Source organism: Homo sapiens, chromosome 11, assembly GCF_000001405.40.
Source record: "Homo sapiens chromosome 11, GRCh38.p14 Primary Assembly".
In the NCBI taxonomy this organism is placed as follows: domain Eukaryota; kingdom Metazoa; phylum Chordata; class Mammalia; order Primates; family Hominidae; genus Homo; species Homo sapiens.
This window is the reverse complement of record NC_000011.10, coordinates 128,564,245-128,589,823: the sequence shown is the minus strand read 5'-3', so window position 1 is coordinate 128,589,823 and position 25,579 is coordinate 128,564,245. Positions and strand designations below refer to the sequence as shown.

The following is a 25,579-nucleotide window of genomic DNA, read 5'->3' as shown; positions in this document are numbered from 1 at the left end:
AATGTGCATTTCTCTGATGATTAATGATGTTGCCCTTCTTTTCGTGTGTTTATTGGCCATTTCTGCATCTTTGGAGAAATGTCTACTCATGTCTTTTGTCCACTTTTAGATCAGGTTATTTGTTGTTGTTGCTGTTGAGTTGTAGGAGTTCTTTATATATTTTGAGTATTAAGTCCTTATTAGATATGTGATTTGCAATTTTTTTTCTCATTCTGTGGACTTCCCTTTCACTGTCTTAATAGTGCCCCTTGATGTACAACATTTTAAAACTTTGATAAAGTCCAACTTATCTATTTTTTCTTTTGTTGCCCAAGTTTTTTTTCCTGGGATAAGCTGTCATATCCCAGGAAATCATTGCTAAATCCAATGTCATGAAGTTTTCTTCTTTGATTTTTTCTAAGAATTTTATAATTTTCATTCTTATGTTCAGATCTTTGATAGATTTTTGTTAATTTTTGAGTATGGTGTAAGGTAGGAGTCCAATGTCATGCTCTTATATGTGGATACCCATCTAATGTTATATTTTTGAAAATACTGTTTAAAACAAAACTTACTGTTTTCCTGGGCATTCTCTAGGCAATTTATGACAGTGGTGGCTTATTTTGCACTATTAAGATTTCTAGTTTATGTTCTTCCACACCGTAAAAGGCCGTGTCAGAGGAGGGAGCTAAGGTCCTGAAGAGTTGCTTTCTATATAAACTCAGCATAGACAACTCCAGACTTCAGAACCCCTTGACAGCCACACTGTACACCCTTATAGAGCAAGAATCCAAGTCTTCTCAACTTTGTTTTTTTCAATTATCCTGCAAACATAGTGAATACAGTTGTAATTAGTTATGATTGGTATAATTGACCGTGGGCTCTTTAAATGGGGCAGTGTGCTGAAATTGACTGGGTTACAGGGGCAGGCTGAAGCTTCCCTAGCTCTCTTCATAGACTTCTTTTGTAGCATGTATTACATTTTTGGGGGGAGATCGTTGATTTATGTGTCTGTCTCCTCACTACAATGCAAACTTGCTATCTTTCTAGTGCCTAGAACAGTGCCTGGCACAGGCAATTTATTAAACTAAAGTGAACCAATAGCATTACCTCTTCCTTACTTCCAAGTTAATGTGCAAAGGCAGAAGATGAGCAGTAAAATCTTGCTTTACTTACAATGTCATCTTAACTGCATTGCCAGCTTTATACAATGAAGGCTGATGATGATATGGCTCCAAATGACAGTTATTAGATTTTCAAGGATTTTCTAAGTTTGTATCTTTATTAAAAAGAGAAAGAAGCCAACTATGACAAATCTTAACTCCCACCTCCTACTCAAAGAAGATGGAATCTTTTAGGATAAAAGTCTTAGATTAAGCAGCCAAATACTGACTTCTCAAAAAAAATTGTAATAACTCCATTCATAGAAATGAGATTATGCTGTAACATTCTTACCATAGTCCTGAATATGTGAATAAAAGATGCTGTGTATTTTCACTTAGGACAGATGTAAGATTTTCATATTGTTTACATTTTCCCTAAATGAGAAATGTATGAACACTTCTGCCCTTTTATTCCTGCACCACGGACCATGAGTCAGGGCTGCTAAAAGTATCCTTATTTTAGAGATTGCCTAAAACCAGACTTATATGAAAAGGGGATTTTTAGCTTTACTTTTCAGAAATCCCAAGTCCATATCCAGTCAGCTCTCTTCCACAAAATTATTTTCTTTTCTTTAGAAAATATCACATTTCATATCAAGTTATTAGAGAGAAACGGGAAGCCTGAGCAGGTGACTGGGTGGTGGACGTCCTGTGTTTCTAAAGCAATCCCTTTCCCTCACCTGAGACCTTGCCTAGGTTAATGGGGGCTCCATTGAGAAAGTCAAGGAACATGAAGCATGAATATTTACATATTCAGCAGAGAGTAAATGCATCAGCAAATGATGAGGTGAGATACAGTGTTATCCCACTGAACTAGTTCCCTTTTGCTCATCTCCCTCCCTGTTACTCTCCAAGGCTGAGTTATATTCAGCTGAAGCACAATTTGAAGAATACGAAATAATGTGTGATTTGGTGCCACCACTGTCAATCAACAGTGCTTTCCACCTAGACTGCTGTGCCTGTGCCAGTGGCTGCTGTCCTGGTGCCAGGGGCAAGAGGAAGACTGCCTTTTTTCCAGCTTTCCCTGGCTTGACCACACCCCCCAATTTAAGGAGGCAGCTCTATTAGAAACATTATGGTCTTTGCATCCTCTTAAGCTACGGAGCAGAGGATTCCCGCAGGTAGTTGGAAAGAGACCACAGACTTTGAGGGAAGCTCACTCAGGATCTGCTCTCCGGCAAAGTAGTAAGTGAGGTGTGTGTCAGTTTCTGCCTAAAACTTTTCAGTCCATTTTCCTTTTCCTGCTTTAAAAAAATTTCTGTGGAATTAAAGAGTAAGTCGGTAGGGAGATTCAGGATACAAGTGAGTTTTCTCTTTCTCTTTTCACGTCTTTCTATATTCCCATTTAATTGTTTAACAATTTTCAAAAATACTTCCTAACCTCGTCAGAATAGTCTGAAAGCAAGACTATGTTTTTAAAAATGTTCCCTGCTTCACAAAAGTAAAACCATGCACGTTTTAGATACCCGTAGATTACTTGTCAGAAACCCTGATTTTTTTTTTTTTTTTTTGCAAATTGGAGCACTTCCAAAGAAATAAAGCTGTAGTTAAATATATAAATTTCTTTTTATTCTCTTTCACTCCTAGTAAATCTATTGTTTTACTTTTTTCTCCTGCTAGTAGTTTAATGAATTGCTTTTAATAGAGAGGAAATTGCTACAGGTTTGAATCTTGCTAGCCAAACTAGCCTGTTTGGTGTTTTTCTCTGTCTTGGGACTGACCTGCAGTTGTCCAAAGATCTACAAGTTCCTAAGTCTGTTGTTGAGACATGGTGTGGGTGTGGGCCGCGGTTGTCTCAGAGTTAGGGAGGTATTTCTTGTCCCCACGGTAGAGCTGGACTCAGTGGCAGGAGATGTCGATGGCAATTCCTCTGCATCCGGTGATTTTATCTGGCCGTGACACTTTGTATGTGACTCCTCACCCACCGTTAAAGGTCTCTGTTACCAACTTTTAAAGTAGTATTTTCTTCAGGCAAACTTAAAAGGGTGCTGGGTCACTGAAATCAATGCATTCTATTGCAGGATTTCTTTATCACCTTTTGGGTAAGTTTTTGTTTTTAATCTCAAGTCCATTTTCCTTCTTACTTTAGACCACTGCCATGCAACTGAGAAAAAAGTATTTGTTAAACAGCAGGAAATACCAATTCTAAAATGATAACTCCATCAGCTCCATTTGATTTGTAAAATTACTGATACTATAACTCTTTCATCAGTTGTGGTTTTGGGTTTGGTGGCCTATTTTTATCCAAAGAGAAAACGCTTTTTCTTCAGGGGCCGTGGGCTGTGCACAAGGGCTGCAGGGTGGCCACTGCTGCTGTTGAGAGTCTTGCTCACCTGTTGTTCCTGAATGGAGGGAAGGGAGAGCTAATGGGTTAATGTCTGCAAAGTGCTTTGAAGATGAAAAGGTCTTTTCATGTGTTCAGTAGTGCAGTTATTAATATTAATATTTGAAGAAGCATGCTGCTTCTAATTGTAAATCAACTACTTCCATCCTTGCCAACTCAATAGTGAAATAACAAACAGTTCAGGCATCCATGCAGCCTCTTCCGTCCTGGTTCCGCTGCTGAGGATGTGGGAAGCCAAGCCGAGAGCCTAATTATGGAGGGGGCATCTTTGCCCGGCAGGCTCCTTACACGGAGGTGCTAGTTGCTGGCTGTGAAAGGATGTCCTGAGGCAGAGCCTGGGGGAAGCTGGTAGAGGGGTGGGATCCTTTGGCATCTGGCAGTCTGTGGCCAGAGCACCGACTTGGGCCAGTGGCCGGTCCCGGACGATAATGGAGTTCAAAGGCAAGTGGGGTCAGAACTTGAACCAGCGCTGGGTCGGAGAAGGGAAAGTGGCTGTGCACTTGGATTATGTCAGTGATTAGCTTTGTAACAGAGAACAGGGATTGAACGTGTCTGTGCCTTCTTCCCTTCATCTCTAAAAGGTGAGCAATCATTTGCGCCCCGCCTGGTTTACAAATATGAGAGAATAGAAGTAAACAGCATAGGGCTATGAAAAATCAGAGTGCCAGTGAGGTCAAGGACTGTCTGAAGTAATACTTCAACAAACTGGGTGTGTGGGTGCAGGTCCTCTCACCTAGGGGAGGGTGAGGCAGAAGGCAAAACACTGCAAACAAATAATCAACAGATTTCTCTCTTTGATTGCACTGGTGAATTTCTTACTGATAACTGAGGTTCTGATGTACCTTGTGATTTTAATTATTGGTGAATAGATCTGTTTTCCATAGTGACTATCATTTTCTAATTACCAGTTCAAAATTCCCAACTGTTCACATCAAACAGCAGAAGGGAATGATTACGTCCCACGAGCTGGGACCCTTCCTTCCTTCCTTGCTTCCTTCCTTCCTTGCTTCCTTCCTTCCTTCTTCCCTCCCTTCCCTCCCTTTCTATCTTTCTTTTCTTTTCCTTCTTTCTTTCCTCCCTCCCTCCTTTCTTTTTCTTTCTTTCTTTCTTTCTTTCTTTCTTTCTTTCTTTCTTTCTTTCTTTCCTTCCTTCTTTCTTTCTTTCTTTCTCTTTCTTTCTTTCTTTCTTTCTTTCTTTCTTTTCTTTCTTTCTTCTTTCTTTCCTTCCTTCCTTCCTTTCTTTCTTTCCTTTCTTTCTTTCTCTTTCTTTCTTTCTTTCTTTCTTTCTTTCTTTCTTTCTTTCTTTTCTTTCTTTCTTCTTTCTTTCCTTTCTTTCCTTCCTTCCTTCCTTTCTTTCTTTCTTTCTTTCTTTCTTTCTTTCTTTCTTTCTTTCTTTCTTTTCTCTTTTTTCTTCCTCTTTCTTTCTTTTCTCTCCCCTCCTTTCTTCTTCTTCTCTCTCTCCCTCTTCCCTCCTCCTTCCCTTTCCTCCCTTTCTTTCTTCATTATGGAAATGATAAAGTATTTAGCATTTGAGCAAAATTAATGTGGTATGCAGCAATTTAGTGGCATTTCAGGCAAATCTTTTAAGTTTCTTCAATCCTGGGAAAAATTAGATGTGAAGACATAACTTACTTTTTGCTTCCTCATCTCCTTTATCCCTGCTGTACTGAAAGTATAGCTTATTGAACTCCACCTTTTAATGTAGATGATTTTCTAGTTATCATATCCATTCTTCTTCATTTCACCTAAGGAGGAATACTCAGCCCTAACGTTTACTGAGCACTTGGTATGTTCCAACATCCTTGCTAGGTGCTTTGCAGGGACTGCTTCATTTAATCTACAATGAAGTTTTGAGGTGGGCACTCCACTCTCGTCATCCCCATTTACCAGGTGGGGACTCTGAGGCTCAGTCATATGACCGTGTTAACTCATGGTGGACCCTGATTAGAGCCAATGGAATGTGAACCCAGAGCTTGTGATTGGAACTGCATGTCATAGGAATCTAAGTAACTCTAAGACATTTACACAAATTTAGGATAGATTTTTCTGCTTAGACTGATTTGCTTATCTAGGAGAACACTGGATTAAGCCTGTTTTCTGAAGTGGTATCTGTGGATTACTTATTCATTGTTATGAAGATACTGACTTTGAAGAAAGACTACCCAGGCCTAGTTTCCTGGGTAAGTAAGTCAGTCCCTTCCCTGACAAATATCAGTTTTATTTCTACTCCATGCCCAGCCTTGTGCTGGAGACCATACCAAACACAGAAGAAACAATATGTAAACTCCATTTTTAAAATTAACACAATAATCTTTACTAGAAAAGAGGATAAAAATGAAAGACAATATAATTATTAAGTAGTGTAGTATAACCTATACATGCTTTGGGAGTTCAGGTAGAAAAAAATGGTATCTAGAGCAGTGAGGGAAGGATGTTTCTGATCTGCCTTTTTTTCAAAAGAGGATAGATTTCATATTCCAGTAATCAAGTGTTGGAGCTGCCTTCAGAACTTAGAGGGAACAGGCTGGGTAGTACTTACTAGCATGAGAGTAAGCAACAAACATTTAGTGCAAATGTCAGGAAAATATTCTCAATGGGGAGGAAAAAATATATAAATTTTCAAGAGATGTGGAAAGGTAGAAAACTCCAGAATTTTGGTCTTTTTAGAGATTTAAAAGAGATTTAGTCTTTTTAGAGACTTAAAAAAAACTTTTCACTTTGAAATAATTCCAGATGCATAAAAGTTTGCAAAACAATGTACAAAAAGTTTCCAAAACATGTGAGTCTTTTACAATTGTAAAAAAAAACATATAATGCAAATAACTCTTTTAAATTATCTCTTGGCACCTCTTGTAATCCTTAATCCAAATGACTTCTGTTGATGGGAGAAAGCACCATTGCCAGTTTCTTGATAAAAGGGACCAAATAACTAGAACCATGTCTTCTTAGGAAAAGCAAGAAGTCTTGGCAGATGTGCATCTGGCATATGGCTCCTGAGACACTGACAGGTCCTGAGCTACTCAATTCTCCCCAGCCGGGTTTGTATTGCACCTGAGGTTACCAGCATCTGCTCAGCCTTGGCACAGAAGTCTTGCCTGTTCCTCCTTGGGCTCTGCCTCCTAAACACCTACCTTGTTATAATCACTCATGAGTTCAACCAAGTTAGTCCAGCGCTGCCTTGCTACTCACAGTGAAGTCCTCTGACCTGCGGCATCAGCACCACGTGGGAGCTTGTTAGAAATGTGGAATGTCTGGCCAGACCTCAGACCTACTGCAGCAGACTGCATTGTAACAGGATCCCCGGGTGATTCATATGCACATTACAGTTTGGGAGGCACTGCTCTAAAGAAAAAGCAAAAACAAATGAAAAAGCAAAAATGAAAAAAATGAACAAACAAGAAATCTTGCACTATTTTCCGCAGTGCTTTACTACTTCCTTATATTTGTATCTAGTTGCTAAAGCGTAAGTCCACAAAAGATCGACATTATATCAAAAAGATGTTGGTTTAACTCAGGAAGCTGCAATATTTCACCATTTGTGCTATGCAATCTTTCAATGAGTTAGTTCTCCACTGTAAGAAAAATGCTTACTTCTTGGTTTTATGCATAACAATGGTACAAACAGACTACCATTAAACAGAAATTGTGGCTCTTTTCTCCTGCAAAATTCTTGACTAATGCTACTCAACCTATGATTATGAAAGGGAATCCTGTTTTCATGACTTGAATACAAGTCTTTAGAAAAAGAGATGAGAGATTTAGCTATCCATGTTCTAGCTCTAACACTTAAATAACCTCTGCCATGTTGGGCAGTAGAAAAAAGTAATTAATATAAAACAGTAGTGTTACTAATTAGTGACATTAGTAAGCATTTACTAATGCTTACTAATTGCCAGGCACTACTGATAAAATAGCAATAATAACAATTATTATTTATTGACCATTTTTACTATTTATACAGCATGCTGCTAAGTATTTGTGTTTTGTATGATCCTCCTCTATAATCCTGAAAGTGTTGATATTATTACCTGCATTTTATAGTTGAGGAAACTGATTGTGAGGTTAAGAAATTTGCTCATGGCCATACACGCAGCAAGCAGTTCTACGTTCACCCATAGTATGTAACTCCAGGGTTCTTGATCACTGCTAAACACGTAACCTCTTAGGACTCAGTTCATTGAAATAAATGAGAAGATTGATGAATTTTTTCCAACTCCAAAATTCACTGGAATTGCACAATCCCTCTTTATATAAGAATGCTAGCAAGCTGTTTAGCATTATACTGAGAAATTGGAACCTTACATTTCGGGTAATAAAACAAATGAAACTCCACCATGAAAATCACAATCAGACATAGTCCAAGAAGTTGCTTGCTGGATTTGAGAGATCTAAGGCAGCTGGTATCTTTTAGTTCAATTTTAAAGGGGCATTATTGCAACTATCCAGTCCCCTCTCATTGTTCTTGTAATATCTCTTTCTATTTATGGTGCCTCTCAGTTTTGTTGAGAATTCCTTTAGAGCCAGAGCCAAGTCTAAACTCTAGATTATGTCTGACATGCTTCACAGGCTAAGAGTCTGTAATGTAATTCTTTAAAATGCTAGTCTCTTCAGAGGTTTCATTGGCAGCATTCATTGGATTAGAGTTGACGTTTTTAATCTCGTGGCCCTTCTTTGCATTTGACTTGGAAAACAATCTCTTATTCCATGGCCTCTATTACGACCATTCTTGGAAAGCAAAGAGTACTCTACATTATTCCTCCAGCTTATTCTTTTTTTGTTTTGAGGTTCGAAGTAAAACACAATCCTTATTTATTTATTCAGTTATTTATGAGTACTTACCATGCTTCTGGCTCAGGAGTACATCCTAAGGCCAAGTGTGATCATTTGTTGAATTTCATGGTAAAATACAGGATTTGAGGCATAGCATTTGTACACAGGCTATGGCCACTTTTATGGTAAGGCAGTGTATTGAATATTACCTTTGATCTTCAGGAAGATGTTCTGACAGAAGTATGATTGACTAGAAAGTGTAGATTGTTAGTATTTCAAAGGTTTCAGAGACTAGAATTGGCATTTTCTTAGTTAGATTCCTAGACCTAAGAGTCGGCAGGTTTTAATGTATTTCCTTGATGCCTAGGAGAAGCAAGACCTTTCTGTCCATTGTTGACAATGCCATTTCAGTACTGTATGGTGAGGGATTTGTTTCCACTGAGAAGGAAATGCATAAAATAATCTATGAAGCATTCCTTATTTCTTAACTGCTATGGTATACCAGAGTAAAACATCTTCTAGTCTTTCTCTTTTTCAGGAGATAGTAGCGAGTTACTCCTCAAGGAAGGGTAAAACAATATACTCTTTAAAATTATAATGACATGAGTTCATTTTAATATTCTAAGAAGGATTCGTTGAGCTATGTCAATTCATACAGGACTTGAAAGTGTTATGCTTAATTAGGAGATGGGTTTATTTTTAGAGAAATAGGAGATGGATATGACTCATTTCCATTTAAGCAAGGGTTGGCGGAATAATTATAGTGAAGTTGTGAAGAAACAAAGACTGAGATGTTAATTGTACTGTGAGTTGCTGCTCTGTAACCTTAGTGAAAGAATAAATGCACTTAGCTTAAGACACAGAAGACAGTAGCCCATAATTTGGAACACAGCCTTCATTTGTCAGTGCTGGCTACTTAAAATAAGAAGGAATATTCACTACTACTGTAATGTTGGATTACTTAGTCAAGCAAATGAGGTTCTTGTAGATTTAGTAGTGAGACAGAAAAACCATCTTCAGTTCTTCTAATCCTTTTTCTTTTCTATGCGTTGTAACCACAAAGTTTCCATGGGGAGTAAGGAATGTTCAGCTTTCCTAGATATGATGGATCTTAAACCTGAGTTCTTAGAGAATTGGATTTGGGAGCTTTTGTTACAGTGACAGGTCAGGGAAGACATCTACTCAAATGATTTGGGAAATACACGTGGGCTACTCATGAGAATCAGAAAGAACACACTGAAGGAGTATAGATGAACTCATCAATCTGGTACATCCTATAGTTTAGAGAAAAGTGCCATCTTGCTTGTAGTTAACTCTTGAGAAGCCTAACCTCAGGGTCACACAAGGACACACTTCATCACAGGGATTTTTTTTTTTTTTTTTTTTTTTTTTAATGTCCAAACGATAACTTACTCTCTTGGATAAGCTCAGGACGCACAAGGATTGTACACACCAACTCTGTTTCAAGTACTTTAGGTACTTTCCCTCATTTAGTAAACAGACACTTGTTGCATGGCTACTATGTGTCATCTGAAAAGACACCATCCTTACTCTCAAGTTACTCATCATTCAGGAGCAGAAACAGGCATAGATACAGGAAGTGTCATGAACTTTGTTACACCGTTACAGTAAATCCCATGGAGGGGCATCAAGGAGGTCCATGCAATTGCCAAAGAGGGTAGGGGGGAGGGGAAAGCTTCCTGAAAGAGGAGATACTCTGAGTCTTCAAAAATACATTTCTATAGTATTCAGAAAAAAGAAATTAAAACTCTATACATTGTAGATTAAAGATGTTGCCTTGGTAGCCCAGGTGTTGCCTTTAGTTTGGCAAAAGTGCTGTTGTTTGGAGCAAGTTTTTTTTACATGGTTAGTTGTTTTGGACACCAAATTCTTTTTTTTTTTTTTTTTTCAATGGAGTTTTGCTCTTGTTGCCGGGTGGGAGTGTAATGGCGAGATCTCGGCTCACTGCAACCTCTGCCTCCCAGGCTCAAGCGATTCTTCTGCCTCAGCCTCCCAAGTAGCTGGGATTACAGGCATGTACCACCACACCTGGCTAATTTTGTATTTTTAGTAGAGATGGAATTTCACTATGTTTGTCAGGCTGCTCTTGAACTCCTGACCTTGGGTGGTCCGCCTGCCTCGGCCTCTCAAATTGCTGGAATTACAGGCGTGAGCCACCGAGCCCAGCCCTGGAAGCCAAATTCTTTGTCTCCTGTATTCCAAGCCAAAAGGACATGCTTTTTGTTTGAATTGATAGGAATCCTAAATTATTGACATTAGGATAAATGCTCATTGGAAATCTATTCAAATTTTGCATTGTTTTCAAAGAGGAAAGGCTGGGGTGAGGGGTGGTGGGGAGAAATCTACATTTTCTGCCACAGCTTTATTGTGCTTTTGAATTCCCCATGTGCCATCTTCATACCCAGGATATGTTTTAACCATAATTCATTGCCTATGAAGCTAACATGAAGACGAGAGGGCAAGTTGAAATTTAAAACATGATGCCTTTGTCAGTGGGAGTCTAATTTTGGCTGGTCTATTATAGAATGCAGTTAGTCAATATGTATTCAAATATGGAATGCATATTTTCTTTGTCCCCAAAATGCTCTTTTTCGGCATTTAGTGGGAATGTAAAATATTTTAGGAATTTTTATAATGACAAAGAATTGGGGACAAATTAATTATACGATAATAAGAGGCTCTTTAAAAGTATGATATATACATACAATAGAATACTTGGCAGTCATCATCTTTAGGATAGACAGCCACATTTATCAACAGAGAAAAATGTCCATAGCATTATGTTAAATGTCAGTGAACAAAGCAGGTTACAAAAGAACATGTGGAGAATAATCTCATGAAGGTAAAATTGTAATCACGTGTGTGTGTGTGACATCTATGTTCGTTTAGATAGATTAAAAAATACCCAGAAGAATATTGAACAAATTATTAGTATAATTATCTCTACATGGTGAGGTTTCAGGTGATTCTAATATCCATCTGTTACTTTTTTGTATTTTAATTTTTGCGGTAACATTGTATTAGTTTGGCAAAAACTGCTGATTTCAAAAGAATTTTGTTTTCAAAAGAAAAAAATTAAAGTGTAATTTACTTGGTATTTACCTAAAAGCGTAGTTTTTCTTTTAGGAATACATAACCCCAAATGAAAAAGGCTTAACTGATGTCAAAGTTATCTAGAAATACAGCCAAGCAGGGTCAGAGTTGATGTGAACTGGATTCAGCCTTGATTCAAGCCTGGTCTCTTTGGGATTTCTTGTTCTTCTGCTGCCTTGGCCTGAACAGTCCCTCTCCTCCCTAATTTTTCCTTTATTCTGTGTCTCTCAACCTGCCCTGCCCTGCCCTGGCAAGCTTTGGGTGAAAGGAAGTGAGAGCCTACAGGTCCTGGCCGGGTTGCCAGTTTGGGGAGGGTGGGAAGTTGGAGAAGTGGTCACTCGCTCTATGAAGAATAGAACTCTCTAGAATCAAGCAGAACCATAGTTTTAAAGTGATTTTTTGGACATGAGACACCCACATAAGCCAAAGTGTTGACTTTTTTGTCTTCTCCATCTCATGCTTGTTTCTGTCCTCGCCATCCAGGGTGATGAGGGTGCTTAGAGAAGCATCTTCTCTCTCTCTCTCTTTTTTTTTTTTTTGGCTTTTTGGCAGAAGAGAATTCCCTCCCACGTGACAACTGCTTGAACATCAGCTGCACCAATTTTTTTCTTAGCATTGCACACGTTTATTGCATAAATGCAAAGCAACTGTGGCATCTGAAGATTTACTCCCCAGCTAAGCAGCATCCATGAGACCTGTTTGGGTGCAAAAATGATTTGGACGCTGGGTAACAAAGGTCTAGAGAAGCATCTTCTCTAAGCACAGGAGGAGGCTGAAGACCAGGAGTCTGGTCTCAGCTTGGCCAATTAGCAGCATCGCCTTAGTCTTTCTCCTCATTTGTAAAAAGAGGGGTTTACACTGAAAAAGTGTGTACAAGTTTTCTAACTTACACTATTGTATTTAACAGTTATCTATGTGCCAGCTACTTTCCAATACTGGCCTAGGATCCAGGGATCTGGAGTGAATAAATGAACTAAATCTCCCCCTTGGGGAGCTTAAATTCTAACAGAGTGGACTTTGGAGAAGACAACGAACAAACACCTAGGTGTCAGAGTACGGAGAAAGGCGCTGCTATTCATATGCGGTGATGGGAAAAGCCTTCTTAGATGAGGGGGCATTAAATAGCTATGTGAATAGAAGGAAACGGTTTTCCCTTAGAAATGGATCATGAAACAAACTGATTATTTCAAGTGGTTCTTTATCTAGACCTGCAATCTATTCAGATTCTCTATTTTGAGGAACAAATATATTCACATCTGATCTACCTCTTACATTTTTAGTCTTGTGAGACCAATTCATTCATTTACTCATTCACTGATTTAAAAAAACAATGAGTTTCCATTATGCCCCATGGTCTGTCTTAAGTGCTGAAGACAAAAATGAAAAAGGCATGGTGCCTGCCTTCAAGTAGATGAGAATTTAGCTGGAGAGACAAACAGAAGCAGATGGTAATAAAACAATGTGATAAGCACCGTGATAGAAATACACTTTGGGAACATAAACAAGGAGCCGCTAACCCTGGCTGGGGTGAAGCGTGGCTCAGGAAGGATTCCAGGCTGCAATAACCTCTGAGCTGAGCCTAAAACCCTGAGGAGGCAGGGTTCACTCATCTTGAGGGTGGATGGGCATTCCTAGCAGAGGGGGTAACATGAGAAGGGCAGGGGAGTGAGACCTGGCAACGCGTGCCTAAGAAAACAACAGAGTTCCATGTTGCAGTGGAGGGTGCAGGGGTCACGGCGAGAGGGGGCTGGAGAGGTGGGAGGGAGCATGGGGGGGCACAGCAAGCCACAGTCCAGAGCAGGGCAGCCTCCTTTCTGACCCACTTATCCTGCGGCTCAGGTGGCGCAGGTCCTTTTCAAGAAAAATAAACTCAGCTCTGCAAGACCCTCTGTTACCCAGCGTCCAAATCATTTTTGCACCCAAACAGGTCTCATGGATGCTTCTTCGCTGGGGAGTAAATCTTCAGATGCCACAATTGCTTGTATTTATGCAATAAACGTGTGCAATGCTAAGAAAAAAGTTGGTGCAGCTGATGTTCAAGCAGTTGTCTTGTGGGAGGGAATTCTCTTTTGCCAAAAAGCCAAAAAAGAAAAGAAAAAACAAACGCTACTAAAAAAACTACCTAAACACTTCATTTACTTCTTCTGAGAAGGTTTACGTCTCTAGCAGCTGTTCTGTGTCACAATCTACAAGTGGAAAAAGGGCGGGTTCTTTTTTTCTTTCTCCAAAAAAATAATAAAGCAGCAATCCATTTCTGTCCAAGAGTTATTTCCTGAGACGAGAGCCCTTGAGAGCCCTGGCAACTCCCTCTTGTCAGTTTCCTCTCTGGGCAAAGGGCTTTTCCCCAAGGGAAGTGTCATTCATACAGTCATAGCTTCAAGAATACAGTCCAGCACAGAGTGCACCAGATGTTGGGCCAGAGCTTTCTTCTCTCACTCTGTCAATGAGAAGAGAAAACATATTTCCACTGACCCCTTTTCCAGGAGTGTTGCTATGAGGGGGAGTGTTGTCTGGCCAGCAGACAGAAACCCTTGGTATCTTTGAGGTGGGCTTCAGGATGTGGCTGCCAATTCCAAAAGTCCTTTCTCTTAGAAATACGTAAGTAAAATAGGCATTTGAAAGGTGAAGGTCCTTTGCCACTTGTGGGACTCTAGGGATGATTTATAGGGCCATGTGGTTACACCTTGCTCTATGCAATCTTTCACAATTTCCTATTCCCTGCACCCAGCAGAACTGACTGCTTCCTATTTCTTTTTCCATATTGTTGGCCAACTACTTATCACATTATGCTATAGTTATGTGTGAGCCTGTCGATTCCACTGCCTGAAGATAGAGATCCTGTCTTTCTCAGATTTTTCCTGAGTCTGATAGAATCTAAGGGCCGTGAGGTCAGGAATCCTTGTTTACTGGTGTGTTTCAAGTGCCCAGGACCGTGTCTGGCACATAGTGGTGCATAGTGATTATTTACCAAATGAATAAACAAGCCACTAACAAAGGACGCCTATTACATGATTGTTGGATAAATACAATCGTACTCCCTTAACTGTGGTTTTGCCTTCCGAGGTTTCAGTTACTCTCCGTCAACCAAGGTCTGAAAATAGGTGAGTACAGTACAGTAAGATATTTTGAGAGAGAGAGAGAGAGAGAAACCACATTCAATAACTTTTATCACAGTATATTGTTATAATTGTTCTAGTCATGTATTAGTTATTGTTGTTAATCTCTTACTGCGTCTAATGTATAAGTTAAACTTTATCATAGGTGTGTATGTATAGGAAAACACATAGTATGTATGGGGTTCTGTACTATCTGAGGTTTCAGGCCTCCACTGGAGGGTTTTGGAACAAATCCTATTTGGGTAAGGGGAGACTACTGTAACTGAGGTCTGTGAGGACTCAGGAGATCCTTGGGGCTTTTTTTGGAGGAAATCAGAGGGTTGAATGTTTACATGAAACAGCATTCCCACATCACTGGGGGGAATTCCAAAAAGTATTCATTTCTAGAAGGTATTAGTTGCCCTGCAGGACCCTGGAGGGATGATCAACATTTCCCTAGGGAATTTGATTGTGGTTAAGCCATTATCATATGACACAATCAATGTTGTTAACTTTTATGTCTCAACCAAAGATCTCAAAGTAGATCAAAAACTTTGAAGTGGGATATATGGTTTGATGATGATTCATCAGGACTTTAAAACTTGATTCTAAGAGTAAAAACGAGGAACACTTTGGTGGGAAAGGAGCCATGGAGCTCAGTGAGATGATCCTCACAGTGTATGGTCAGGACAGGCATATCTAAACCACGTGACATGCATCTTACTCTTATTTCATGCTCAGTGCCTGGTACAGAGTCAGACCCATCATAGGTACTCACTGTTCTTGGAAACAAACACTGAGTAGTGACCCCTGACGCAGATGTTAACAATGTCCCTGGCCTAGGGTACTTTGAGCTTTTCCTACCATTCATCTTCACCAATGAGGAGCTCTTCCTGGGGTGGTTTTGCTGTAGTGGAGATCAATTTCCTAAAAAACTAAAGGACAAAATCTTGATTAACATAGTCTAGCTATTCAGACCCTTAGTTAATTTTTTAAAACTAATGTTATTTTGACTGCATTCTACATCTGGAAGAAAAGACATAAGAAAAAGGCAAAGTTTTAGTTAAAAACACAAAGTATAGTTCTAGGATAAGTTATGACTTCAGGAGGTTTGTAGCTTACATCCCTTAACCATATGATATTAGTAGCTTTGTTGTTGTAGCCCTTAGGCAGTATAGTTTTATATTGCCAAGCCTGTTTAACTATATCATTTAAACATTTAAATACATTTCATATGAAAAAAGGGATCAAGATGGTGAACCAAACTGCAAATTGAACATAAGACATTTCTTATTACTTGATTTTTCTTGAAATGTATCAGTTGCTTTAAATGTAGAATTAAGGAAAAGGGCAGACAAATACAAACTGGAAAGCAGTGAAGTTAAAGCGTCACTTCCTAACAATAAGAATTTGGCCTCTGATTGGTATGCCTAGGAATTTAATCTTCGAGATTATTCAAGAACGACTTTTTAAATGCATAGTATTAAGTTTATGAAAGTGTGTAATGAACTTTCGAAAGTATTTAGGTCAACAGAGATGTTCGATATGTAATGATGACCAGTAGCTAACTGGAAAATCCCTTCAGCCAGAAAATTGCTCAAGCATTCTAGACACTCAGACTTCCAATGTAGAAAATAGCTCTCAACAAGTTATTTAATAGCCCTTCTCCTTTTTTCAAGATCAATAATGCTCAATCCCTTTTGCAGGGTTTCTCTCTGTTTATCTGTTTCTTGGGTTACTGGGTGACATACCTCTTCAGGAGAGCTTTTTCCATCCTTCCTTTCTCCAATCCTTTCTATGTTTATTCCTTTATCAATTAATTTACACCCCAACTGTGTATTGTATGCCTACTTATCTGCCAGGCCTGGTTGTGGGTGGGGGAGACACACAAGAACTGGTTCCTGCTCAGAAACCCTACAAAAATGTGCCTCTTGTGCACTGGTTTACTGCTTGCTGTCTGCAGTGTGTAGACATGGTCTGTTATCCATGTTACCTTGCAACCAGGGAACTGGTTCTGTCTGAGGTCTGCTCTTACCGGTGCTGGGGGTTAGTCACTGATCTTTCTGAATTTCCATTGCTTTCCCTGCCATGCAAAGAAGTGAACTGGTTGGCTCCTAAGGAGACTTTTAGTTCTAAGGTTCGTGTCTTCCTTGTGTATTCTAATCCACAAACCTGTGAGCATCCAGAGGCTCAGCCAACGCCTTCTCTCACACAGGTGCTGAGAGCAGAATGAGCTACTTTGTGGATTCTGCTGGGAGCAGCCCCGTCCCTTACTCAGCGCCTCGTCCTGCAGTGGTGGTGAGTGGTGGCCCCTTCCCTGCCCCTTTGCCCACACAATCTTCTCCCCTCCTCCTTGTGCTTCCTGTATCCTGACCCCCAGTAGACAGAGAAGCCAGGAACCTGAACTCCAAGGTTCGAATCAGCTTTGAATCTTTTGGAGGATGTCAATTGTAAGATTATCTATGATTTTATCAGCATATAAAAGAAAACCAAATACTGATGGATTTGCTGAAGAAGTTTTAGTATGTTTGAGTTTGAGAGAAATGACTCAAATATGATGAACAGTTAAAGCCAGTTGATTTTCACTGCCCAGTTCATTTGATGATTTTTTACATATTGAGGTACCTTATTCCTATACATATTATAATTGAACTTACTTTTGGCCTCAGACATAAAAAGCCAATAATGCAAGTTTTCTAATCACAGACTTTAAAAGTGAAAATGGAATATGACAATAAGTTTATGGAAAAATTTCATAAATCCTAGAATAAGAGGGGACAAAGAAACTTTAAAATAGGACTGGATGAAGTTTTTTGTCCATAGGTGAGAAGATCCTTGCCCAAGCTATATGCTGATCAATAGAAATGCTTTGACAAATTTCTCAAAAATGTATTGCGTGAGGATCTTATAATGTTGATATTGATCAGTTCCAGTATTAAAAGACACTAATATCAGCAGCTGTGTCATTAATTATTCTTTCTAAATTCTGTTACGTTTTTATTCAAAGATAGCCATCATAAATGTTGAATTTTTTTTTTCTTACAGTGAAATACGGACAGATAAGTTTATTTTATTTATTTTTTTCTTTTTCTTTTTTTTTTTTCTGTCACTCAGGCTGGAGTGCAGTGGCACAATCTTGGCTCACTCCAACCTCTATCTTCTGGGTTCAAGCAATTCTCCTGCCTTAGCCTCCCAAGTAGCTGGGATTACAGACCTGCACCACCACGCCTGGCTAATTTTTGTATTTTTAGTAGAGAAGGGGTTTCACCATGTTGGCCAGGCTGGTCTCGAACTCATGACCTCAAGTGATCTTTCTTTGAGATGGTCTCGCTCTGTTGCCCAGGCTGGAGTGCAGTGGTTTGATCTCTGCTCACTGCAACCTGTGCCTCCCGTGTTCAAGCGATTCTCCTGCCTCAGCCTCCCGAGTGGCTGGGATTACAGGTGCCCACCACCACGCCCAACTAATTTTTTGTATTTTTAGTAGAGACAGAGTTTCACCATGTTGGCCAGGCTGGTCTCAAACTCCTGACCTCGGGTGATCCATCCACCTCTGCCTCCCAAAGTGCTGGGATTACAGGCGTGAAGCACTGAGCCCAGTCGCAAATAAGTTTATTATATTATTATTATTATTAACTTTTCCCAGTACATTTATGGATCTGAATTAACACCAATAAACAAGAACGCATTTCTGACTTGTCTTTGACTGTCTTGCCAGAGATTCTGTATAGTTTTTAACACTGATTAAAGTTAAGTATGACACAGTTAACTGTGACCTCTCACTGTAATTGTATATTAAAAGACCTGAATTGTTTGAAGTTTTTTTTTTTTTTTTTTTTTTTTTTTTTTTTTTTTTTTTTTGACGGAGTCTTGCTCTGTCGCCCAGGCTGGACGGAGTCTCGCTCTGTCGCCCAGGCTGGACGGAGTCTCGCTCTGTCGCCCAGGCTGGACGGAGTCTCGCTCTGTCACCCAGGCTGGAGTGCTGTGGTGCGATCTTAGCTCCCTGCAAGCTCAGCCTCCCGGGTTCACGCCATTCTCCTGCCTCAGCCTCTCAGAGTAGCTGGGACTACAGGCGCCCGCCACCACGCCTGGCTAATTTTTTATATTTTTAGTAGAGACAGGGTTTCACCGTGGTCTCGATCTCCTGACCTCGTGATCCGCCCGCCTCGGCCTCCCAAAGTGCTGGGATTACAAGCGTGAGCCACCGCGCCCAGCCTGAAGTTCTTTTTTTAGCATTAAAAAAAACCAAAAACTCTCAGTAGCTATTCTGTTCAAGGGAAAAGACACATTTTAAGGATGATTGAGACATCTCTCTTCAGTAGCTGTTTTTACCACATTTTTCTTCTTTTTAAAATGGCTTCTGTGTTCATGTAAGCACCGTTTACTTTTACAAAAAATTAGAATCAGAAAAAGGTTTAGACGATAATATATATCAGAAATATGTTTAAACTGCCCACTCCCCAACACTCCACTACACGACAAGTCCAGGCAAGGAGTCACTCGAGTTTGCTTAGTAGCGATTGCCAAAGGACTTGCAGTTTAAGATCATATCGAGGGCTGAAGAAGTTGCCAGAAAAGGGCTCCTCCTCCTTTTCCTCACATAGAGGTCATTATTTAAAGTTAACACAAATGACATTAAAATTTCCTTAAAGACGATATTGTAGAAATTTGTTAAAATAAATAATGATATTGTGATTTCAGAGCAAAATGTGTCATTGACTTGAAAAATAAGATTTAAAAGCCAGTCCATGTTAATTCTATTTACAGGTACTATAATCAAATTAAAACAGATTAATATTTTGGCTAAGAATGAAATGCCATGGCTGGGCTCAGTGGCTCACACCTGTAATCCTGGCACTTTGGGAGGCTGAGGCGGGCGGATCAGTTGAGGTCAGGAGTTTGAGACCAGCCTGGCCAACATGATGAAACCCAGTCTCTGCTAAAAATACAAAAAAAATTAGCCAGGTGTGGTGGCACATGCCTTGTAATCCCAGCTACTCAGGAGGCTGTGGCATGAGAATCGCTTGAACCCAGGAGGTGGAGGTTGCAGTGAGCTGAAATTGTGCCATTGCACACTCCAGCCTGGGTGACAGAGCAAGACTCCATCTAAAAAAAAAAAAAAAAGGAAAAGAAAAAGAAAGAAAGAAAGAAATGTCACACAAATATGTACTTAGTTTAGACACTGAGATAAAAAGCCTATTATAAGTATAAAAGTTGCAGATATAATATAATGTCATCCTAGGCAGGGTATCTCAAAATTGTGGGAGAATAAAAAAATCCCAAACCAAATAACTCTAAGTGCATAATTTCAACTAAAGACACCTCCCTGCAATTGAACACCCTGGATATTTTAAATAAATTTTGAATGGCTTCCATTGGTTTCAAACCAAATAATCCGTTTACTCCCACCCATGACAGCCTTATCTGAAAAACATTAACATGTGAGATCCTTTTCACTAAAAAGTTCAAAGTTGCTTGGGTAAAAGCAGAAGGTTGTACAAAAGAGCTGCTGAATTATTGTTCTTGCACTTTCACTCCTAACTTCTCTCTGGGCCTCAGTTTCTCTGTCCCTGAAACGATTTAGGCAACCTTCCAGAGCAAGCAAAGAAGCCCTTTAATTTTTTCACATACTCTTTCTCTAATAAAAATTAAGAAGTAAATAACACTTATTGGTATAAACTCAAGTTTAGTAAACCAACTCAAACCATAACCTCTAACTTTAGACTGGGCTGTGATAAACAGAGAATCTGTAAATTGTCTACAAAATATAACCTTAGGACATTGGCACTAGAGACACCAGCAAACAAACCTCACATTCAGTTGCAATCTAAGATACCCTGGAGGGGTAAGCATAGCTTCATTAACTTTCCTAGATAAGAAAGTCAGAGCCCCAGGCAACCAGAGTCTTCTCGGTTCTGTTGGAGCCTCCCTGTCCAGAGCTCAACCCGTGGTGCTTAATCCAATAATCCAAGTCCTCCTACCTGGTGCCCTAGTCTCTGATTTAGTTAGTCTGACACACCAAAAAAAAAAAAAAAAAAAAAAAAGAAGAAACTCTGTCCCATGTATGGTAAATTCAGAGTGAAAAGAAAACCATGAGAGTATTGGGGTTTTCAGTAGGGGGTGCTTTTGTCCCCCAAAGGGATATTTGGCAATGCCTGGAGATGTGTCTCATTGTTAAAATTTAGGAGGTGCTCCTGGCATCAGAGTAGAAGCCAGGGATGTAACTGAACATCTTTTAGTACACCAGACAGCCTCCTATGACAAACAATTATCCATCCCCAAATTCTGATAGTGCTGACGTTGAGAAACCTGGTCTAGAGTAGCCACAGATCAAACTTGAAAGCAGAATGGGACTGTGTGTACAGACTGCTCTAAGCAGGTCTTGGTTACTAGTAAATTATTGCTTTAGAAAGGGAAATCTAACAAAAGAAAGTAAGACTGTGTTCCTGCTCCGAGGGGCTCTTACTTAGCATGCTGCATTAGTTGGCCAAGAAACAATCTCTTCGAAAATAGGATGTCAGTATTTTCTGCGCCTGAAGATAGCTAAGTCTCGGAGTCCTTGCTTGTAAATTAGAGGTCACATTAACGTTATCTGGTCATTTGCTGCGGAAGAATGCCTGGAAACCATGGGAGCCACAGTGGTTAAAATCCATGCCAGCCTCAGGTAATCATGGTTTTGCACAGAATTCACATTCTCTGCCTCAGCGTCAGTTTCTCAAAAGCAGGACTCATGGTTTCCCCATGCGTAAGGTCAGCCCTTCAGGAGGCCATAATGAATGAGGTGGTGTCACAGTGGGGAGGTGGAGAAGCAACACTTTGGGAAGTTGTCTGGTCATTGTGTGGGAGGGATGACCTTTCCAGGTACTTCTATGGGCTGTGTGTCAGGGACCCTTTCATCCATGGGGAGGAAGTGCTCCTTCCTGTTATGCTGCCTCTGCAAGCCCAAGCCCGCTGTGAGCCTGGAAGTCCCTTGCAAGCCCAGTACTTTTGTCCTCTCATGCGTCATTCTCCCCTTCACAGCACTGTGCTGGCCCAGCTGAGAGTGGCGGGAATGAGCGGGCTGGGCTGCTCTCAGTTTTGACTAAACATGGCCCAGCCTGGGATGTCTCACCGGCAAGGAGGATGTGCGGAGGAGTTCCTGGGGGACTAGTGACCCCTTTGGCCATGCGGGCTTTAGGAAACACCTTGGGCTGTACAGAGGAAAGGAACTGCCCACTCACCTCCTCCCAGAGCCACAGACTTTGGGAGATAGAACAACATGCTCGGGCAGGAGTGGCCCACTGTGCTCCACCTCAGGGAAGGCACCTATGCCCAAGAGGCTAACTACATATCCCCAAGTGCCAGAATTTCCTATGATAAGACTCTGGGCTTAAGGGACATTCCTGGTAATTTGAGGGTGAAGTAACTGTATTAAAAACTCCTCACTCTTGGCTGGCCGCGGTGGTTCACACCTGTAATCCCAGCACTTTAGGAGGCCGAGACAGGTGGATTACCTGAGGTCAGGAGTTCGAGACCAGCCTGGCCAACATGATAAAACCCCGTCTCTACTAAAAATACAAAAAATTAGCCGGGTGTGGTATTGGACGCCTGTAATTCCAGCTATGCAGGAGGCTGAGACAGGAGAATCGCTTGAACCCAGGAGGCAGAGGTTGCAGTGAGGCAAGAGCATGCCACTGCACTCCAGCCTGAGCAACAGAGTGAGACTCTGTCTCAAAACAAAAACAAAAACAAAAACAAAAACAAAAACAAAACCCAAAAAACAAAAAACTTGCCACTCTTTCACTCTCCCTAAATCAAATGTGATTCTCTTAAAACATGGTCCCTATGTTGTTTCAATGAAAACAGGGGTTCAGAAACTGTCCAACAAAAGACTGTTTTTTGACTTGTGAATTTATGCCATGAAAGCCTTCAATGTTGTATAAATTGGATCCCATTTATTAGACACTTAATTTCTTTCACTATACAGAATAAAATATTGTGAAATCAAGGGTATTGCAGACGTACGAGCACTGAATGAACAGGGCACTGGAAATAAGCCTGAGTTCATGCTGGATGTCACCTTGGGAGGGACCCCAGGGAGGCTGTCAGTCATTGCCAGCTCTGGGCATTGGCCTCCGTCCCTCCTGTGCAGTTCCAGTGGGACATGGGTACCTGGGGGGTCAGCTGAATCTCTAGTTGGTACCAGCATAGAGGGTAGTCCTGCCATGAGGCTTAGCTAAGTGCATTGCAGAAAAAGAGCTCCAAATTAACCACGGCCCTCAGAGCAGCTCCCTGTCACAAAACCTTTTGGGCAATTCCTCTTTTGTACATTTTCTTTCTTCCTTCCGTAATTGATTGATCGACTGGTTGATTGATCCACAGGACTCTATTTCCACCTTCAGGCCCTCTGGTGAGGCAGAAGCCAACGCACCTTACACTGTCTTCTTGACACCAGACATGAGATAGAGCCTTTACTCCTGGTCCAGGCAGCTGTGGAATGGGTCCCAGCCAAATTCTAGTGGAAAGCACTTGGGTTTTAGAATCAGAAAGACCTGGAGTAAATTCTGTCTGGTACTCTGGTACTCTTTTTTTTTTTTTTTTGAGACGGTGTCTTGCTCTGTCGCCCAGGCTGGAGTGCAGTGGCGCCCTCTCGGCTCACAGCAGGCTCTGCCCCCCAGATTCACGCCATTCTCCTGCCTCAGCCTCCTGAGTAGCTGGGACTACAGGCGCCCACCACCGTGCCCAGCTAATTTTTTGTATTTTTAGTAGAGACGGGGTTTCACTGTGTTAGCCAGGATGGTCTCGATCTCCTGACCTCGTGATCTGCCCACCTTAGCCTCCCAAAGTGCTGGGATTACAGGTGTGAGCCACTGCGCCCGGCCCTGTCTGGTACTCTTTAGCTATTTGATCTTGGGCAAATTACTTACCTCCTCTGAACCTCAGTGTCTTCATCTGTAAAATAGGCATGGTATAAGGTACGTGGAAGGTCACTGTGACGGTTCAGTGAGAACATGCTTGTCAAGCGCCTCCACAAAGATGACCTCCATCAATTCTCTTTTCCTTTTAGTCACTATCTCATCTCTTTCTATTCTTCACTTTTTGATTGTGTTAGGTGGATACTGGGGCTGGGAAGGGGTGAGGATTTCCGCTTGTCCATGCAAGGGTGCTACCAGAAGAAGATGGGGCTACTGGGGTGAAGATGGAGACATCCTCATTGGGAAACCTCCTTGTTTCATCACTGCCCTGCATGAGAAACAGCTCCCTTGCCACCAGATCAAAGTTCTCTTGTCACAGCCGGTGGTTTACAACCCCATTGTGTAAACAGACCTCGTTTTCTTATCTTGAGTAATTGCAGTTTAATTGGGCCTCCTTGCGATGCAGTTCCCTTCTTACCCAGGGCTCTGGTTGTTGGCACACTCACTTCCAGCCCATAGGCCTCCGGACTCCAGTCATTGGATGTGTTCACAGAAGGGTCACTCTGCTGTCCCTGCACTTCTTATGCAGTGATTGTGCTTGCTACCATGAAGCCTAGTGAAGACACCCTTTCCTTCTCTCTGGGAATCCTGGAGAGCAATGGACAAATTATTTGGTACTAGAGAAGTGGGAATCCACAAAAAGAAATTTAAAACCAAAGTGGGAATGAGACTGCTGAAACATAATGTTTAGGGAAATTATTTATGCTCATAACTCTTAGTGGTTGTCACAGAAATTGAAGGAAAGAAGAAAATAACCTATATTTTTCCAGCATCTTGGACTGTGGGGCTTCTGTAAGCTACTAGGTTCAATCATCACAAGCTAGAGAATTTCAGAGTCAGACCACAATGTAAAGACCATCTTGCAATATCAGGAAATTCAGATCCTAAGAGGTTAAATGAATTACTGGAGTTTCCTCAGGTATTTTGTTATAGCACTCCTGTCTTGGTCCATTAGTGCTGCTATAACAAAATACCTGAGACTGGGTAATTCAAAAAGAATAGAAATTTATTGCTCACCGTTCTGGATGCTGGAATGTTCAAGATCAAGGCATTGGCAGTCTCTGTGTCTGGTGAGAGTCCCGTCTCAGCTTCCAAGATGGACCCTTCCTGCTGCATTCTCTAGAGGGGATGAACGCTGTGTCCTCAGTGGCGGAAGGGAGGGAAGAGGCCAAACCCATTCCTTCAGGTCCTTTTAAAGGGTCCTAGTCCCATCCTTGAGGGCTTTGCCCTGACAACTTACTCACCTCATAATGCCTCCGCCTGTTAATATTATCACATTGGTGTTTTACATTTCAACTTCTAAATTTGGGGGAACACATCCATAACAACTCCTTACAAACACATTTATTTTATTTATTTATTTATTTATTTATTTATTTGATATTTGGTGATATGTAAGAACTTATAATGTATTTTCATTCATGTATTTGTATGCCTTGTTTATGAAAAATTAGTTTTTCCTGATTCTGGAAAAAACAAAAAAAAACAAAAAACCCAAACTCCATTGTGTAGATTGCTGAGCAAATTGAAATTACTGGATAGTCTTCTGGCCATGGCAAGTTCCACCAACCGTGTCCATAACCAGGTTTTGAGTCAGCCTCAGTCTCCATCTCCATACCACAAGATGCCTAAAGCTGTCACCCATGGTACCACTGGGCTTCTGAAGGCTTCATGCTAAGCGAGGGGCAACTTGAAACCTGCAGATCTAGAAGCTTACAAATAAAATGTCTCTCACCTAAGACCTCTCAGCAAGAGAGTGTCAACTGCAGGTCCCCAGGACTGTGGTCTCAAGTTCCACCCCCTCCCCGTCCTTCAGCCTGTTTCAGCGAGTGTTGGCTGTGAGTGGAGGCTGTCCTGGTCTCAGGCTGGTATGAGTTGTAGTGTTGGTGTTGGCTGCACTACCTCCGACTTTGTGTGCTTCCCCAGGGGGTCCCTAGGGAAGCTAAGCACAGCTTTGCATTAAGAGCATAATTAGACATCCCCTTCTCTACAACCCTCTGTGCTTCAGAATTTTTTCTGCAGAAACCTGCAGCGTGTCAGGCCTGCACTTTCACCAAGGCCCAAGCCCATTACTCTTATTGTTTTAAAAAGAATTTCCTGGCCTTGAGTCTAAAATTAAATTGCCCTTTGAGAGTTTCCTATTTTGCCTGTTCCTGCTTCTCCT

The 25,579-nt window shown here is 40.9% G+C and overlaps 1 protein-coding gene and 1 long non-coding RNA gene across 7 annotated transcripts in view, besides 4 other annotated features; one reads left to right on the top strand and one right to left on the bottom strand.

Annotated features, from left to right (window-relative positions):
• Window positions 165-24,513, bottom strand: LOC105369565 (uncharacterized). Of its 2 annotated transcripts, XR_948163.3 has the most exons (5): window positions 24,433-24,513; window positions 23,368-24,003; window positions 6,617-6,827; window positions 2,864-3,484; window positions 165-803 (listed from the first exon to the last, which is right to left on the bottom strand). It is a non-coding gene; the product is annotated as an uncharacterized LOC105369565 (long non-coding RNA). The 2 variants fall into 2 exon arrangements; XR_948162.3 differs by lacking the exons at window positions 165-803; window positions 2,864-3,484 and having other exon boundaries at window positions 4,896-6,827.
• Window positions 2,107-2,313: a silencer, noted in NCBI's record as "fragment chr11:128457406-128457612 (GRCh37/hg19 assembly coordinates)". NCBI's record gives its function as "represses an EF-1alpha promoter that drives an FKBP-Casp9 reporter gene in an ReSE screen in HepG2 liver carcinoma cells {active_cell/tissue: HepG2}" and the evidence as "EXISTENCE:reporter gene assay evidence [ECO:0000049][PMID:32094911]".
• Window positions 2,266-25,579, top strand: part of ETS1 (ETS proto-oncogene 1, transcription factor) — a 128,794-nt gene continuing 105,480 nt past the window's right edge. For 2 of the 5 annotated variants that reach the window (XM_047426527.1, XM_047426525.1), the window contains exons 1-2: window positions 2,266-3,184; window positions 16,680-16,762. In XM_047426527.1, coding sequence (XP_047282483.1) covers window positions 3,148-3,184; window positions 16,680-16,762 — 120 coding nt within the window. In that variant the 5' untranslated portion in view covers window positions 2,266-3,147. The remainder of the gene's footprint in view (window positions 3,185-16,679; window positions 16,763-25,579) is intronic. The other 3 variants (XM_017017314.2, NM_001143820.2, XM_017017315.3) reach the window with 3 other exon arrangements.
• Window positions 5,992-6,708: an enhancer, noted in NCBI's record as "OCT4-NANOG-H3K27ac hESC enhancer chr11:128453011-128453727 (GRCh37/hg19 assembly coordinates)". NCBI's record gives its function as "activates a minimal SCP1, AML or CMV promoter by ChIP-STARR-seq in naive H9 embryonic stem cells {active_cell/tissue: H9 hESC(naive)}" and the evidence as "EXISTENCE:reporter gene assay evidence [ECO:0000049][PMID:30033119]".
• Window positions 6,709-7,427: an enhancer, noted in NCBI's record as "OCT4-NANOG-H3K27ac hESC enhancer chr11:128452292-128453010 (GRCh37/hg19 assembly coordinates)". NCBI's record gives its function as "activates a minimal SCP1, AML or CMV promoter by ChIP-STARR-seq in naive H9 embryonic stem cells {active_cell/tissue: H9 hESC(naive)}" and the evidence as "EXISTENCE:reporter gene assay evidence [ECO:0000049][PMID:30033119]".
• Window positions 13,131-13,631: an enhancer, noted in NCBI's record as "H3K4me1 hESC enhancer chr11:128446088-128446588 (GRCh37/hg19 assembly coordinates)". NCBI's record gives its function as "activates a minimal SCP1, AML or CMV promoter by ChIP-STARR-seq in primed H9 embryonic stem cells {active_cell/tissue: H9 hESC(primed)}" and the evidence as "EXISTENCE:reporter gene assay evidence [ECO:0000049][PMID:30033119]".